Genomic DNA, 16324 nt, shown 5'->3' on the forward strand with positions numbered 1-16324 from the left:
GTGACCGCGTCCCCACGCTCCGCGTTGCCCGGGCGCCGCCAGGACCTCGGAGGCGGCCGGCCCAGCCCCGACCCTGTGCGGACGCGGCACAAAGGCGCGGCGCGCGGACCCCGACCCGGCCGGACCCCGGCCGCGTCCCCCGGCCCCGGCCCGCGCCCCTGGCCCCCGCCCCGCGCCCCTCACCCGGCCCACCTCGGCCGTAGGCCTTGGCGCAGATCCACTGCAGGTTGGCGGCGATCTTGGCGCGCGCCGCGTCGTAGCGGTCCAGGGGCACGAGGTCGGCGGCGCCGTCCGGCGGGGCCTCCATCTTCCTCCAGCCCTCGGCGGCGGCGCGGCCGCTCGCGTCCACCATCTGCAGACAAAGGGCTGAGGCGGCGGCCCGGCCGCAACAAAGGCGCCGCCGCCCCTCGCCGCGCCGGGCCCGGTGCGCCCCGAGCCACCACTCGGCCCCGCAGCCGGCCAGCCGGGAGGGGCGCCCGAGCGCGGCCCCCGCCTCACCTCACAGCCGCCGCCGTCGCCGCCCCCGCGGCTGCTGCATGCTGCGGGCGCTGAGCCCGAGCGGAGGAGGTGCCGAGCCCGCGGCCCAAAGAGGCGGCGGCAGGAGGGCGCGGGCCGGGGGCGGGGGCGGGCGCGGGGGCGGGAGCGGGCCGGGGGCGGTGGCAGCGCGTGCGCGGTCCCGGGTGAGCGGCGGCGGCGGCGACAGCGGCTGAGGCGGTGGCCAAGGAGCGGGAGCGCGCTCACCGCCGGGGCCTCGCACAGGCGCAGTAGGCACCGCCCGCCACCCCGCCCTCGACCCCGCCCCCAGCTCCGCTCCCTTCTCGCGCCTGCCCCGCCCCTTTCCGCAGGCGCAGTAGGCACCGCCCGCCAGCCCGCGCCCGCCCCGCCCCTTTCCGCAGGCGCAGTAGGTGGCACCCGCAGGCCTGTGCCTGCCCCGCCCCTTTCCGCAGGCGCAGTGAGCGTCGACCCGCCCCTCCCCGCCCGCTTCCGCAGGCGCAGTAGGACCCGCCCTGGTCCGCGCCTGCCCCGTTGCTTTCCTCAGGCTCTAAGGCCCGCGGTGTGGAGCGCGGCGTAGGCAGCGGGGAGTGGGCGGCGCGGGGTGGGTGGAGTGGGTCGGCGGCGGGGATCCTGCCGAGCCCGCAGCTGCCCTCTTTTAGCGCCGTGTCTCCTCCCCGGCCCTGGCTCGTCCCACCTCAGCCACAGCCCGGCCCCCTGGCCGGCCGAGGTCTCGCCGCCGGCGCCCTGGGGACCTCGTGGGTGTGGCCGGCGGCGACCTCGGCAGGCGACAGCCCAGCAGACGGGCACCAGGTGGACGTGCCAGTCTCCAGACCCCCGTCCCGGTGCAGGGAAGGTGGGCGTTTGGACCCCTGAGGCAGAAACAGGTGCGGCCCCGCCGGCGCATCCCCCGGAAGGGACGCTGACTTCGTTCCCCTGGAGCCTGCGTCGGGGCCCGCGCTGGGCTGAGAATTACGGGAACGCCGTGAGAGTTTGCATTCCGAGGATTTGGTCTGAGAACCTCACCAGCGAAATAGAGAACTGCCCCCGGGAGAGCCGGCCCACGTGCCGCCCACCGGCGCCTTGACGGCAGGGAGAGGTCGAGCTTCCAGGGAGCGGGCGCCCGGCGCGGGGCTCCCAGCCTGTCTGTACCTGGTCGAGACACCCCGTGCCAGAGGCGGAACATGTATGAAATGCCAGGTGCCCAGAGGACCCAGGCAGTCCGTCATTCACATACCAACCCACGTGCAGGCTTCAATTCAACCTTGAAGCCATTTGGGCCTGGGCTTTTTTGATGACTTATTTGATTCATAGTTTTTTGGTTACTAATTGAGTCTCTTCACTTGTTATAGGTCTGTTGAGATTGTCTATTTTTTCTTGAGTCAGCCGTCTGAAAAGAACACGAGGTGGACAGGGCAGAGCGGTCAAGGAAAGCCATAGGAGGAGGGCACTTATTTGAGCAAAGACCGGCGGGACGTGGGCGTCGAGGGTAAGGATATCTGCAGAAGTACTGTCTTGAGCAAGGAGCACGGCAGACAGAGCCTCTGAGACACGAGAGCCTGGAGTGTAAGAAACACAGTAGAGGCCACTAAGTCGAGAACGCAGGAGCTGGAAGGACTGGTAGGAAATGGGAGGTGGGGACATGGAGGGATGCAGACAGGTCCTGCACAGTCAGAACTGTGGCCCCTTCTCTGCAGGAAATGGGCAGCCTTCGGAAGACTGAGCACACGGAAGGATATGACTAACCCTTTAAAAGGGTCATTCTGACTCCTGGGTGAAGAACAGACTAGGAAGGGCTGAGGAGGAGGCAGGAGGCCATCTACTGTTATATGGGATGTGGAGTGTGACCCGGAAAGGTCAAGTGTGACTCTAAGGGCTTTTTGTGTACTGATCTTTTATCCTGCAACCTTGCTAAACCCATTTATTAGTTCTTCTTGTCTTTTAGTGGCATTTATTAGTTGTTCTAGTGTTTTAGTGGATTCCTTGGGATTTTATACAAAAGCGTGTCATTTGTGAATAGAGATCAGTTTATCTCTTCCTTTCTAATCTGGATGCCTTTTATTTCTTCTCCTTGCCTAGCTGCCCTATCTAGAAGCTCCAGTACAATATTGACTAGAAGCAGCAAGAGTGGACATCCTTGTCTTGCTCCTGATTTCAGGGAGGAGGCATCCAGTCTTTCACCTTTGGGTATGATGATAGCTGTGGGTGCTTAAAAAATAGGTTTTATCAGGCTGGGCACAGTGGCTCACGCCTGTAATCCCAACCCTTTGGGAGGTCGAGGCGGGCGGATCACGTGGGGTCCAGAGTTTGAGACCAGCCTGGCCAACATGGAGAAATCCCATCTCTACTAAAAATACAAAAAGTTAGCTGAGGTTGGTGGCCGGTGCCTGTAATCCCAGCTAAAAAAGGGAAACTGTCTAAAAATCATTAAAAAAAAGGGTACTTCCTCAACCTGATAAAACCTATTTTTTGTTTGTTTGAGATAGTGTCTCACTCTGTCACCCAGGCTGGAGTACAGTGGCTGGATCTTGGCTCACTGCAACCTCTGCCTCCCAGGTTCAAGCGATTTTCCTGCCTCAGCCTCCTGAGTAGCTGGGATTGCAGGCACAGGCCGCCACGCCCAGCTAGTTTTGTATTTTTAGTAGAGATGGGGTTTTACCATGTTGGCCAGGCTGGTCTTGAACTCCTGACCTCCAGTAATCCACCCCCCTGGGCCTCCCAAAATGCTGGGATTATAGGCGTGAGCTACCACGCCCAGCCGAGGAAGTATCTTCTATTTCTAGTTTGTTGAGTGTGTTTATCATGAAAACGTGTCAGATTTGGTTAAATGATTTTTCCACATCCATTGAGATGATGATCATGGGTTTTTTTCCTTGTTCTAGTAATGTGGTGTGTTACATTAATTGACTTTCAGATATTGAAAAGACACTTATCCCCTGCGTTCAGATAAATTCCAGTTGGTCATGGAGTATCTGTCTTCCTGGATTCAGTTTAATACAATTTTGTTGAGTGATTTTTTTTATCCATATTCATCATAGATACTGGTCTGAAGTTTTCTTGTGGTGTCTGTGTCTGGTTTTGGTATCGGTATCAGTGTCCTACTGGGCCTCATAAAATGAGTTGGAAGTGTTCCTCTTTTTTTTTTTTTTTTTTTTTTTAAGATGGCTGTTCACTGTATCATCCAGGCTGGTCACCAATTCCTGGCTTCAACTGATCCTCCCACCTCAAGCCTCCTGAGTAGCTGGGATCACAGGCACAAGCCACTGGACCCAGCTTTAATTGTTTAAGTGTTTCATAGAATTCATTATTGAAGCCATTTGGGTCTGGGCTTTTTTGATTACTTATTTTGATTATTAATTCAATCTCTATTTGTTGTAGGTCTATTCAGATCATCTGTTTGTGTCTTTAGAGGAATTTGTCCGTTTTATTTAAGTTACAGTGTTTTGGGCGTAAGCAATTTTAAGGAGAAAGTTATCCTTAACCAAGATGGGAAAGGTCGAGGCAGGGTGGTACAGGGATTTTACCTCCCACCAGGTATCTCCCACAAACTCCCCCTAATATAATACCGGCGGAGTTTGGGCTGTGGCTTTGGCTGTGTTGAGTCTCAGATGCCTGTTGGGCCTCCTCATGGAAACGCTGGTGGGCGATTGGATGAGCAAGTCACCGGCGTGGCCCAGGTTGGAGACTGGGAATTGTCACCACAGAGAGAGCCTTTAGAGCTGTGAGACAGGAGGAGGCGCCAAGGAGCCATTGCTCAGGTGGAGGGGAAGTCGAGGCATGGTGCTTGGGCCTAGGGGCAGCACTTGGGAGTAGTCAGCCTGAAAGGTGAGAAGCCAGGAGAGGGGTCCCCAGCTTATGGCCTGGGAGCTAACTCAGATTTGGCGAGTGCAGGTTTTGTGGAATGGTGGTGTATTAGTCCGTTTTCACGGTGCTAATAAAGACACACCCGACACTGGGCAATTTACAAAAGACAGAGGTTTAGTGACTTACAGTTCCACATGGCTGGGGAGGCCTCACAATCATGGTGGAAGGCAAGGAGGAGCAAGTCACATCTTACGTGGATGGCGGCAGGCAAAGAGCGAGATTGGGCAGGGAAACTCCCCCTAATATGATACTGTCAGATCTCGTGAGACTTACTCACTATCACGAGAACAGCATGGGAAAGACCTGCCCCATGATTCAATTACCTCCCACCGGGTCCCTCCCACAGCATGTGCAAATTCAAGATGAGATATGGGTGGGGACAAAAGACAGGCAGGAGTTCCGAGGATGAGTATTTGCATTCTGTCCCTGAGTTTGCTGTAAAGGAGAGCAGCGAGACAGAGGCATGGGGTGCGGAATGGCGTGTTTAAGATGGAGTGATGACAGGTGCCCGTTGGAGTGATGCAGTAGACAGGATCTGATGATGGGGAGCAGGTGTCGTGTGCCCTTGAGCAGGAGCCCAGCAGAGAGACCCTTTTTCCTCCTGTAGCAGCAGAAGAGAAGGCAGCAGGGTGCAGGACTGAAGGAGGGCTGGGCTGGGCTGGGATGGGAGCCTGGCTGGTTTTCCCCTGGTGGCCCTATGACTGGTTAAGGGCAGGGCAGAGGCACGGCAGGTTGGAGGCACAGAAGGCCCAAGATAGTTATCTGGGCTGGATGTGGGGCGGTATTCTCGCCTCTCTGGGGACATCCCTTAAGTGGACAGGAAGACTGGGTGGTTCAGGTGTATGTCCACTCACCAAGAACACAGGATGAAGGTGGGGCCTAGACAGTGGCTGTTTTGACCAGGGCAGAACAGTTGAGGGCATGTGAGAGGGCCCATGCTGACGCCAGACCTCAGTGGGGAGAGGGGAGAGTCCAGGGACCAGAGGTCCCCCTAGGCTTAAAGGACAAACCACAAGGAGAAGAGGAAGAAGTCTCTATGTCATTAAAGTTTCATTATCAGGGCTGCTATAATGCTTCTCATTGCTTATTATAAAACCCAATTCTGCAAGACCAGCCTAGCCAACATGGTGAAACTCTGTCTACTAAAAATACAAAAATTAGCTGGGCGTGGTGGCATGTGCCTGTAATCTCAGCTACTCAGGAGGCTGAGGCAGGAGAATTGCTTAAACCTGGGAGGCAGAGGTTGCAGTGAGCCAAGATCGTGCCACTGTACTCCAGCCTGGGAGACAGAGGGAGACTCCATCTCAAAAACGAAACAAAACAAAAAAAAAAACTAATTCTGGCCCAGCGTGGTAGTTCACACCTGTAATCTCAGCACTTTGGGAGGCCAAGGCAGAAGGATCGCTTGAGCGCAGGAGTTCAAGACCATTCTGGGCAACAAAATAAGACCCCACCTCTACAAAAAATAAAAAAAATAGAAGGAAGCAATAGTGTGCACCTGGGGTCCCAGCTACTCAGGAGGCTGAGGTAGGAGGATCACTTGAGCCCAGAAGGTCGAGGCTACAGTGAGCCGGGATTGTGCCACTGTACTTCAGCCTGGGTGACAAAACAAGACCCTCTGACTCAAAAAAAAGAAAAAGAGAAAAATATTTTTGTTAGAGCAAAACAGGCTGACCTTTTTTTCGGGTTTTTTTTGGTTTGTTTTTGTTTTTTTGAGATGGAGTCTCGCTCTGTCGCCCAGGCTGGAGTGCAGTGGCACGATTTCGGCTCACTGCAAGCTCTGCCTCCCGAGTTCACGCCATTCTCCTGCCTCAGCCTCCCAAGTAGCTGGGACTACAGGCGCCCACCACCACGCCCGGCTAATTTTTTGTATTTTTAGTAGAGACGGGGTTTCACCGTGTTAGCAGGATGGTCTCGATCTCCTGACCTCGTGATCCACCCGTCTTGGCCTCCCAAAGTGCTAGGATTACAGGCATGAGCCACTGCGCCCAGCCCTTTTTTTCGTTTTTAATGTTGAGACTAGGTTACAGCATTATTAGATACAATGAAGGTAGAGGGAAGGTGCTCAGAACTCTCCTACAAGCATAGCAGCTGCTCAGGCACAGCTCCAGTGACTCCAGGGCCCAGCCTTCTGGGGAGGAGTTGGATGGGCATATTCCTTGAGGGGCTCCCACCTGCCCACAGAGAGCACAAGAGGAGAACTCATCCTGTTTGCCCTGCTTTTCCCATCTTGTTCCTAGACATCCTGAGGTTCCCACCAAGTGGACATTGGCTTATTCTACAAGCAACAGGATGAGGCCCCTGGACTCCTCACTAGCAAAATAGTGCAGTGACAGCAACACCCCCCCCCACACACACACACACAAAGATGTCCACATCTTAATTCCTGGAACCTGTGAATGTGTGACCTTACCTGGTGTCTTAGTTCATTTGTGCCACTGTAACAAAATACCACAGACTGGGTAATTTATAAACAATATAAATTTGTTTCTCATGGTTCTGAAGGCTGGGAAGTCCAAGATCAAGGCACTGGCATGTCCTGTGTCTGGTGAGAGCACTTCGTTACTGTTTCCTCTGGAGGGAAGAATGCTGTGTCCTCACAAGGTGGGATGGACAGAGGGGCAAGAAAAGGCCAAACTCCACAGGAAGCCTCTTTTATAAGAGGAGCCCTCGTGACCTAGTCCGAAATGGCCCCACCTCTTCTTTCACCACAATGGGGACCAAGTTTGTTGTTAGTTAACCTAAATGACAGAGGAGCTCTCTAAAGAGATATTTATTCAGGAATAGGGCCTTGCAACGGGAACACGTATATTACGGTAACTGCATGTTCAAGGAAGACAAAAGTTTTAAAGGAAGAAAGGAAGATTACATAATCATTTTGAAATGATACTCTTGACTGCAAAGATTAATAGCAAGGGAGACACCGGTCCAAGTTTGGAAGGTAGCTGCTGGGCAGGTATCCTTGCAGAAGTATTTTCTTGTGTAAGATTTCAGCGGCCTTGGCCAGGTGTGGTGGCTCACGCCTATAATCCTAGTAGTTTGGGAGGCTGAGGTGGGTTAATCACTTGAAGTCAGGAGTTCAAGACCAGCCTGGCTAACATAGTGAAACTCTGTCTTCACTAAAAATACAAAAATTAGCCGGGCATGGTGATGCATACCTCTAATCCCAGCTACTCAGGAGGCTGAGGCAGGAGAATCACTTGAACCCGGGAGGCAGAGGTTGCAGTAAGCCAAGATTGCACCACTGCACTCCAGCCTGGGCGACAGAGCAAGACTTGGGCTCAAAAAAAAAAAAAAAAAATTCAATGGCCTTTGTGCAAGGTTGTGGGTTTTGTGGTCTTTTGTGATAGTTTTTGTTATCGGGCATATGGACCCTCTCTTCATGGCCTTCCCTAGCTCTATTTGTTAGGGTTTTCTTAACATTAGTCACTCTGTTTTGATTCTGACAACTTTCAGTTTCAACATGAATTTTGGAGGGGATGCCATCTTTTAAATCATCGTACCTGGTAAAAGGGACTTTGGAGATGGGATTAAGTGAAGGGCCTTCAGATGGGGGGTTATCCTGCGCTATCCAGGTAGGTCCCATATAATCACGATCATGAGAGGGAGGTAGGAGCTTCACAGTTGGACAGAAGATGTGACCACAGAAGCAGGGGTCAGAGGAGGGAAGATGCTGGCTTTGAAGGCAGAGGAAGGGGCCACAAGCCAAGGAATGTGGAGACCCCTAGAAGCTGGAAAAGGCAGGGACAGATTCTCCCCTACCCTAGAGCCTCCAGAAGGAGCCAGCCCTGCCAACACCTTGACTTTACCTCAGTGAGATAATTTAGACTTCTGACCTCAGAACTGTAAGAGAATAAATGCTTGTGTTTCGACCACTGAATTTTTGGTAATTTGCCATAGCAGCTGCAGGAAACATATACACATGGTGACTAGTTACTGAGTTCCTTCCCCAGACACACTCAGGAGCATGTAACCACCACAGCCTCCTAGTGGAAGCACAGGTCCTGCAGAGAGGCCATGCCTGTGCACCCCAGGAGCCAAGGCCACCCTCCTGCACAGGGCACCACCCCTTGCACCTGCACACTCCAGCCTCCACACAGCCCTTGGTCAGGGCTGGGTACACCAGGGAATGTTTCAAAGTAAAGCATCCCTTACTGTGGTCATTCTCAGCACTTTTTTTCTGGAAAGACAGATATGACAGAATATGTTCATGTGTGACATGGGCCCATGGGGGTGTTTGGGATAGTTATCATATCCAGCACACCGAGAAGGTTGATATTGAGAACTGGGACAGGAAAAAATACCATCTTTATCATCACTGGCCTTTAACCAAAATTTAACATTTTCCTGAATTATGAATCTAGGCAACCAACTGCTGCAGCAGCATCAGCAGTGTCCGGGACTCCACCTCCTACAGAAGTCGTGGATGTCTCACATCACATCACCATTGCTGCAGATGCCACAGAATACCATTCTGCTCATCATTGCTCCAAAATTACCATAACTCCTGGACCAGCTGCTTGATTACATTATTTAATGCATTCATAAAGAGGCACATGCAGTACTGTACCACCGTTTAAAATTTGTGATGAAAGTACTTTAATTTCATTTTTAATTTTGTAGGCATTAAAAGCATTATCTGAATCTCAAAGAAAAGTCCAAGACCTGATGGTTTCCTGGTGAATTCTACCAAACGTGTAAAGAAGAACTAATACGAGCCCTTCATAAACATTTCCAAAAAACTGAAGAGAAGGGAACACTTCTTAACGCATTCTATGAGGCCAGCATTACCCTGGTACCAAAGCCAGACATACACATGACAAGAAAAGAAAACTACAGACCAATATTCCTTATGAACACTGATGCAAAAAACCTCAACAAAGTACTGGCAAACTTCAGCGGCATATTGAAAGGATTATACACTATGACCAAGGAGATTTATTCCTGGAATTCAAGGATGGCTTAGTATACAAAAAAAAAAAAATCAGTGTACTACACTATACTAACAGCATGAAGGAAAAAACTACATGATCATCTCAATTGATGCAGAAAAAGCATTTGACAAAACAACACCCTTTCATGATAAAACCACTCAACAGATTAGGACTGGAAGGCAACTACCTCAACATAATAGAAGCCATTTATGCAAAGCCCACATCTAACACTGCTCAGTGATGAAAGGCTGAAAACTTTTCCTGTAAAATCAGGAATAAGAGGCCGGGTGCGGTGGCTCACGCCTGTAATCTCAGCACTTCGGGAGGCCAAGGCGAGTGGATCAGCTGAAGTTGGGAGTTCAAGACCGGCCTAAGCAACGTGGAGAAACCATGTCTCTACTAAAAATAGAAAACTAGCCAGGCGTGGTGGTGTACACCTGTAATCCCAGCTACTCCGGAGGCTGCGACAGGAGAATCGCTTGAACCCAGGAGGCAGAGGTTGTGGTGAGCCAAGATCGCACCATTGCACTCCAGCCTGGGCAACAAGAGCAATACTCCATCTGAAAAAAAATTAAAATCAGGAATAAGGCAAAAATATCCACTTTTGTCCCTTCTATTAAGATCTAGCCAGAGCAATTAGGCAAGAAAAATAAAAGACATCCAAATGGAAAAGGGAGAAGTAAAATTATCTCTGTTTACAGATTATATGATCCTATATGAAGAAAATCCTAAAGATTCCACAGAAGATCTGTTAGAACTAGTGAATGAATTCAGCAAAGCAGTAGGATGCAAAGAACAATCTGAAAAGGAAATTATGAAAACAATTCTATGTACAATAGCATAAAAAGAATAAAACAAGATTAAGGCAGTGAAAGCTACAAAACATTACTGAAAGAAATTAAGACACAGATAAATGGAGAGACATTTTGTGTTCATGGGCTGGAAGACTTAATATGGTTAAGATGTCAGTACTACCCAAAGCAATCTACAGATTTAATGCAGTCCCTATAAAATCCCAATGACATTTTTTGCAGGAACAGAAAAACATCTTAAAATTCATTTGGAATCTCAAGGGACCCTGACTAGCCAAAACAGTCTGAAAAAGAACAAAGTTTAAGGACTTTCACTTCCTGATCTCAAAACTTTCTACACAGCTATAGTAAGCAATGTGGCACTGGCATAAAGACAGACATAGAAACCAATGGGATAGAATAGCGAGCCCAGAAACAAACCCTTGCATACATGGCCAGATGATTTTTTAATAAGGGTGCCAAGACCATTCAGTGGGGAAAGGACAGTCTTTTTCAGCAAATGATGCTGGGAATACTAGATATCCACACACAGAAAAATAAAGTTTGGCCCTTACCTTACCACAGATAGATTCAAAATGGATCCAAGACCTAAATGTAAGATCCAAAACTATAAAATTCTAAGAAGAAAATAAAGGGCAAAGCCAGGCACAGTGGCTCGTGCCTGTAATGCCAGCACTTTGGGAGGCTGAGAAAGGAGGACTCATCCCCCGAGGCCGGGTGTGGTGGCTCACGCCTATAATCCCAGCACTTTGGGAGGCCGAGGCAGGTGGATCACGAGGTCAAGAGATCAAGACCATCCTGGCCAAAGTGGTGAAACCCCATCTCTACTAAAAATACAAAAATTGGCTGGGTGTGGTGGCATGTGCTGGTAGTCCCAGCTACTCAGGAGGCTGAGGCAGGAGAATCGCTTAAACCCAGGAGGTAGATAGAGGTTGCAGTGAGCTGAGATTGCACCACCGCACTGCAGCCTGGCAACAGCGAGACTCTGTCTCAAAAAATAGGAGGACCTCTTGAGCCCAGGAGTTTGAAACCAACCTGGGCAACAGAGAGAGAGACCCTGTCTCTACAATAAATTTTAAAATGAGCCAGGTGTGGTGCACACCTGTAGTCCCAGTTACTCAGGAGGCTGAGGTGGGAGGATCACTTGAGTCCCGGAGTTTGAGGCTGCAGTGAGCCGTGATTACACCACTGCACTCCATCCTGGATGACAGAGCAAGACCCTGTAGCAAAAAAAAAGAAAAAGAAAAATATAGGGCAAAAGCTTCGTAACACTGAATTTGGCGATGATTTCTTGGATATGACACCAAAGGCCCAGGCAACAAAAGAAAAGATAAATTGGACATCATGAAAATCAAAACATTGCTTTCATTAAAAGACACTGTCAGCAGAAGCTGGGCATGGTGGCTCATGCCTGTAATCCTAGCACTTTGGGAGGCCGAGGCTGGTGGATCACTTGACCTCAGGAGTTGGAGACCAGCCTGGGCAACATGGTGAAACCCCATCTCTACAAAAAAACACAAAAATTAGCCAGGCATGGTGGCTCATTCCTATAGTCCCAGCTGCTTGCAGAGCTGAGGCAAGAGGATCGCTTGAGCCCAGGAGGCAGAGGTTGCAGTGAGCCGAGATTGTGCTACTGCACTCCAGCCTGGGTGACAGAGTGAGACTGTCTCAAAAAAAAAACAAAACAAAAGAGTAGAAAGACAACCTACAAAATGGGAGAAAATATTTGCAAATATTGTATCTGAAAAGGGATTAATATCCAAGACTCCTAAAACTCAAAAATAGAAAACCAAACAACGTGGTTAAAAAATGAGCAACAGACTTGCATAGACGCTTCTCCAAAAAAGATACACAGATGGCCAAGAAGCACATGAAAAGATGCTCAACATCACTAGTCAGTAGGGAAATGCAAACCAAAAACCACGAGAGACCCCCTCCCAGCCACTGGAATGGCTGCTACCAAAAAACTAGAAAATAGCAAGTACCAGGGAGGATGTAGAGAAACGAGAAGCCCTGTGCACTGTTGCTGGGAATGTAAAATGGTGCAGCCACTGTGAAAAACAGCATGGAAGTTCCTCAGACAATTAAACAGAATTACCATGGGACCCTGTAATTGAAAGCAGGGTCTCCAAGGGGTGTTTGGACACCCCAGTTCACGGCAGCTTATTCCACTTGGGTGGAAACAGCTGAAGTGTCTGTGGACAGATGGATAAGGAAAATGCGGCCTCACCACACAAGAAAATACTACTCAGCCCTAAAAAGGAAGAAAACTCTGACCCACACTACAATACGGATGAGCCTTGAGAACATTATGCAGAGTGAAATGAGCCAGTCATGAAAGGACACATCCTGTAGTCCCACTCATTGGCAGTCCCCAGAGTCATCAGATTCATAGAGACAAGAAGTAGAAAGGTGGCTGCCGGGCTGGGGAGGGGACGGAAGTGAGTGTTTCATGGGGACAGAGTGGGCAGATGGAGAGTTCTGTGGAGGGAGGGAGGTGATGGTCCCGCATTGCTGTGACTGCTTAATGCCAGTGACCTGCGCACCTGCAATGGTCAATCTCTGCCCTCCAGCGGGTGCCCCCATGGTGCCAGGCCCCCGTCATCTTGGGGTGCACAGCGCAGCGGTGTCTCACCAGGATGGGATCCGCTGAGGGTTGGAGCCTCAGCTCAGGCCAGGGCTGCACCTGCCCCCACCACACCATACACACCTCCCCCACTCTGTTCCCCATTGGCCCCCTCCTCACTCCACCCATGCTGTCTGGCCCCTTCTCCCCCAGGTTCTGCAAGAGCGGGTGTGGTGGGCCCACTTGCAGTCCCAGCTCCTGGGGAAATTGCAGGGGCTGCTGGAACCCAGGAAATCCCAGCTCGCTGGGCATCTTGAACCTACCAAAAAACACCCTCAGCAGAAAATGAGAGGGCAGGAAGGATGTCAGCAGAGCCTCTGTGGACTCTTCATGGGAGGGAGGACTCTCATGCTGACTTGCAAGGAGGCACCCCGGAAGCCCCCAGTCCAGGAGTGACATGGGAAGGGTAGTTCAGAGGCAGGTTTCTGACCCCTCTGGCCTCCATCAGAGCCACCGCAAAAATTCCACCTGTTAAATAAAAACGGACTGAGGCCGTGGTGCACTCCTGTAATCCCAGCCCTTTGGGAGGCCAAGGTGGGAGGATCGCTTGAACCCAGGAGCTCAAGACCAGCTTGGGCAACATAGCAAGACTCCACCTCTACAAAAAAATTAGCCGGGTGTGGTGGCGTGTGCCCTTGGTCCCAGCTACCCAGGAGGCCGAGGCGGGAGGATTGCTTTGGCCCACTGGAATGTTCTGCCAGGAGGGGGTAGTTTAGAGCCTATGAACCACGGCAATGAGCACTGCGAGCAGGGACAATGGGGGGCTGGGGTTGGGGTGGGCTCCACGAGCGCTGAAAGCTGAGCTATCCCAGGGACCTGGGAGGTGACCCTGTGGCTGCCGAGTTTCTCTCTGGATGCACACCATGTCTATGAACCCTAAGGAAGGGTCCCCACTTTGCTGGGAGCCTCGGAGGCTGGGGGCACCATCCCCAATCCCTCGGGGCAGGCTCAGATCCTGGCACACTGACATTGCCAGCCACTCCTGGGCACTTGCTGTGTGCCGACCCAGGACTAGGAGCTGCACCTGGGCCCCAGGATGTCCCCTAGTTTGCAAATGTGGAAACTTGAGTCTCAGAGACTTAGGGACATTGGCCTCTGTGAATCTCAGGGCTGCTTCTCCTGAGGCCTGAACCAGGCCTGGCACTGTCTGCTGGGTGCGGGCCCAGCCCTGGGAGGACCCAGCAGGGGTGCTCAGACCTCCCATCCCATGGCTAACCCACCGCTGGGGAGGAAACCTGTGGACACTTGCACTGAAAAATGTCACTCTCTACAAGTATGCAAGGGAGTCGGACCATCTCCCATCAGACCTGGACACCCGCCGGACACCACAGCCCCTAACACTCCGGCCAGGTCGCTCCAGGCTGGCACAGGTGGCACCCAGCCAGTCACACTTAAAGCAGGGTTTCCCTGGCCTTACCATATTATCACTCCCCAAGGAGGAAATGCGAATTTTTAATTAAGTGAATTAAATGCTAATTTAATTAAGTGAATTAAATTCCATTTCTCCCTTGTGAGATAAATAATAAGGAATGCGGTTTTGCCAGGTAGGGGTGAGCTTTGAACGGCCACAGCATGGGACAGGTAAGAGGTCTGTGCCACCCGAGACCTGGCGAACGCCCGAGTTTCAGCCTCACGCACATTCCTTCCCCAAGAGCAGCTGCGCTCTGTTCTCCCACGGGAGAAGCTGTCTGCTCTTGGTGCTCCCAGACACCTCCTGGGTTTGCCCGTCCTGCACTGGGCTCTGTCCTCTCTCACACTGCTCGGCCAGCCATCCGGCTCCTGGGACGGGCGAGCCCAGGACACCCCCCGGGCCTGCCTCCACACAGGTGCTCTCTGAGGCCACCTTGGGCTCCCCGGCTCTGGCCCTGCTCCCCTGCCCTGCTTGCCTGTCATGCTGCGTGGATCATGCCTCGGTGTTCCGTGACTGCTGGTGTTCAACGACCTGAGAAGTGGGACGAGTGGGCGCTGTTTCCTTATGCATCAGGAATCTGGGGGCCCTGCAGAGAGGTGCCATCACCCTCACCAGCCCCAGGTTCCCACCTCCGTGGGGGGAGGTAGAGGGACAAATGGGACACCCTCGTGTGGATTGTGGCACATGGACCCAGTCCCTGTCACCCTAGTCCAACATGGTCAGGTGCCAGCCCTTTCTGGAACCCTGGCCTCTGGTCACCCCACCCTCCTGGGTGACCTGATCCCCAAGCATTTCAGACCCAGCTGCTGGAGAAGGCAAAATGCACCATTACCCACACATCCCCTCCCCTCCTTCATAACCCTAACGCTAACTGCACACCTGCCTCCTGGAGCTCTTCCCCGAGCCTGCCTGCCTCGCCTTTGCTCCCGTGCCCCCAGCTCACCTCCTGCTCTGGGTGGTGACCCGGGTGAGGCCTCTGGCCCTCACAGCCTCTGGGCGGCCCCAGACCAGCCCTGCAGATGCCCCTAGGCATGGACGGAGGAGTGGGGAGCGATGAGAGAGGAAACCCTGACCTGGCTGAGCTCTGAGCCCTTCGCCTTCTCAGTGGCCCCAGGATGGCCCAGCTGGTAGCCCAGATATCCCCAGCGGGCCGGCCCATCAGACCCTCCCCTGGCAACAAGGTCACACAAGCCTTGGTAAAGGTGGCAGTGTTCCACCCTGGACCCAGGCCTTCCAAATCGGGCCCTGCACCCCCTCAGGAGGGGCACAGGACTTTTCCCCACCTGGCCCCCAGCCTAGTTGGAAGTCAGGGCAGGGTGAGCCCATGCTCCTGGGCATCCGGCCTGCAGGCTGACGCTTGCTCACCTCATTGTAAGGAGGTCATTTTTTATTATTTAAAAAAAATAATGGAGACAGGGTCTTATGTTGCCCAGCCTGGTCTCGAACTCCTGGGCTCAAGCGATCCTGCCACCTCGGTCTCCCAAAGCACTGGGATTACAGGTGTGAGGCACCGTGCCCAGCCTTTCTATTTTTTTTAATTTTTGTAAAGTGGTAATTTCAACATATTACCATCTCCCCTAATGACAGTGGTTTGTTTGTTTTGTTTTGTAGGTTTTTGTTTTTTGGGGTTTTTTTTGAGTCTCACTCTGTTGCCAGGCAGGAATGCAGTGGCTCAATCTCGGCTCACTGCAACCTCCACCTCCCAGGTTCAAGCGATTTTGCTGTCTCAGCCTCCCAAGTAGCTGGGATTATAGGTGCCTGCCACCACGCCCAGCTGATGTTTATATTTTTAGTAGAGACAGTGTTTTACCATGTTGGCCAGGCTGGTCTTAAACTCCTGACCTCAGGTGATCCGCCTGCTTCAGTCTCCCAAAGTGCTGGGATTACAGGCATGAGCCACCCTGCACAGACTTTCTTTTTTGAAATGGATTTTCCCTCTTGTTGCCCAGGTTGAAGTGCAGTGGTGCGATCTTGGCTCACTGCAACCTCCATTTCCTGGGTTCAAGTGATTCTCCTGCCTCAGCCTCCGGAGTAGCTGGGATTACAGGGGCCCGCCAAACTCCTGACCTCGTGATCTGCCTGCCTCGGCCTCCCAAAGTGCTGGGATTACAGGCGTAAGCCACCAATCCCAGCCTTTTTTTTTTTTTTTTTTGAGACGGAGTCTGGCTCTGTTTCCAGGCTGCAG

The 16324-nt window shown here is 52.2% G+C and overlaps 1 protein-coding gene and 1 long non-coding RNA gene across 17 annotated transcripts in view, besides 3 other annotated features; one reads left to right on the plus strand and one right to left on the minus strand.

The window, feature by feature from the left end:
* Positions 1 to 739, minus strand: part of CAMSAP1 (calmodulin regulated spectrin associated protein 1) — a 99060-nt gene extending 98321 nt beyond the window's left edge. For all 7 annotated transcript variants that reach the window (NM_001437281.1, XM_011518273.3, NM_001437280.1 and 4 more), the window contains exon 1: positions 193 to 739. Coding sequence is in view for 2 of the 7 variants with exons in the window: in NM_015447.4 (NP_056262.3) it covers positions 193 to 352 (160 nt within the window). In the remaining 5 variants the exon portion in view is untranslated. The remainder of the gene's footprint in view (positions 1 to 192) is intronic.
* Positions 328 to 397: a silencer, noted in NCBI's record as "silent region_20490". NCBI's record gives its function as "represses an Ori minimal core promoter by ATAC-STARR-seq in GM12878 lymphoblastoid cells {active_cell/tissue: GM12878}" and the evidence as "EXISTENCE:reporter gene assay evidence [ECO:0000049][PMID:35858748]".
* Positions 478 to 587: a silencer, noted in NCBI's record as "silent region_20491". NCBI's record gives its function as "represses an Ori minimal core promoter by ATAC-STARR-seq in GM12878 lymphoblastoid cells {active_cell/tissue: GM12878}" and the evidence as "EXISTENCE:reporter gene assay evidence [ECO:0000049][PMID:35858748]".
* Positions 628 to 1307: a silencer, noted in NCBI's record as "silent region_20492". NCBI's record gives its function as "represses an Ori minimal core promoter by ATAC-STARR-seq in GM12878 lymphoblastoid cells {active_cell/tissue: GM12878}" and the evidence as "EXISTENCE:reporter gene assay evidence [ECO:0000049][PMID:35858748]".
* CAMSAP1-DT (CAMSAP1 divergent transcript) lies at positions 1026 to 14223 on the plus strand. Of its 10 annotated transcripts, none has more exons than XR_007061857.1 (4): positions 1026 to 1692; positions 1845 to 2112; positions 2190 to 2679; positions 6597 to 14223. It is a non-coding gene; the product is annotated as a CAMSAP1 divergent transcript (long non-coding RNA). The 10 variants fall into 10 exon arrangements; XR_007061858.1 differs by having other exon boundaries at positions 8721 to 14223; XR_007061853.1 differs by having other exon boundaries at positions 1026 to 2112.
* The last annotated feature ends 2101 nt before the right edge of the window (positions 14224 to 16324 follow it).

Source organism: Homo sapiens, chromosome 9, assembly GCF_000001405.40.
Source record: "Homo sapiens chromosome 9, GRCh38.p14 Primary Assembly".
NCBI lineage: Eukaryota > Metazoa > Chordata > Mammalia > Primates > Hominidae > Homo > Homo sapiens.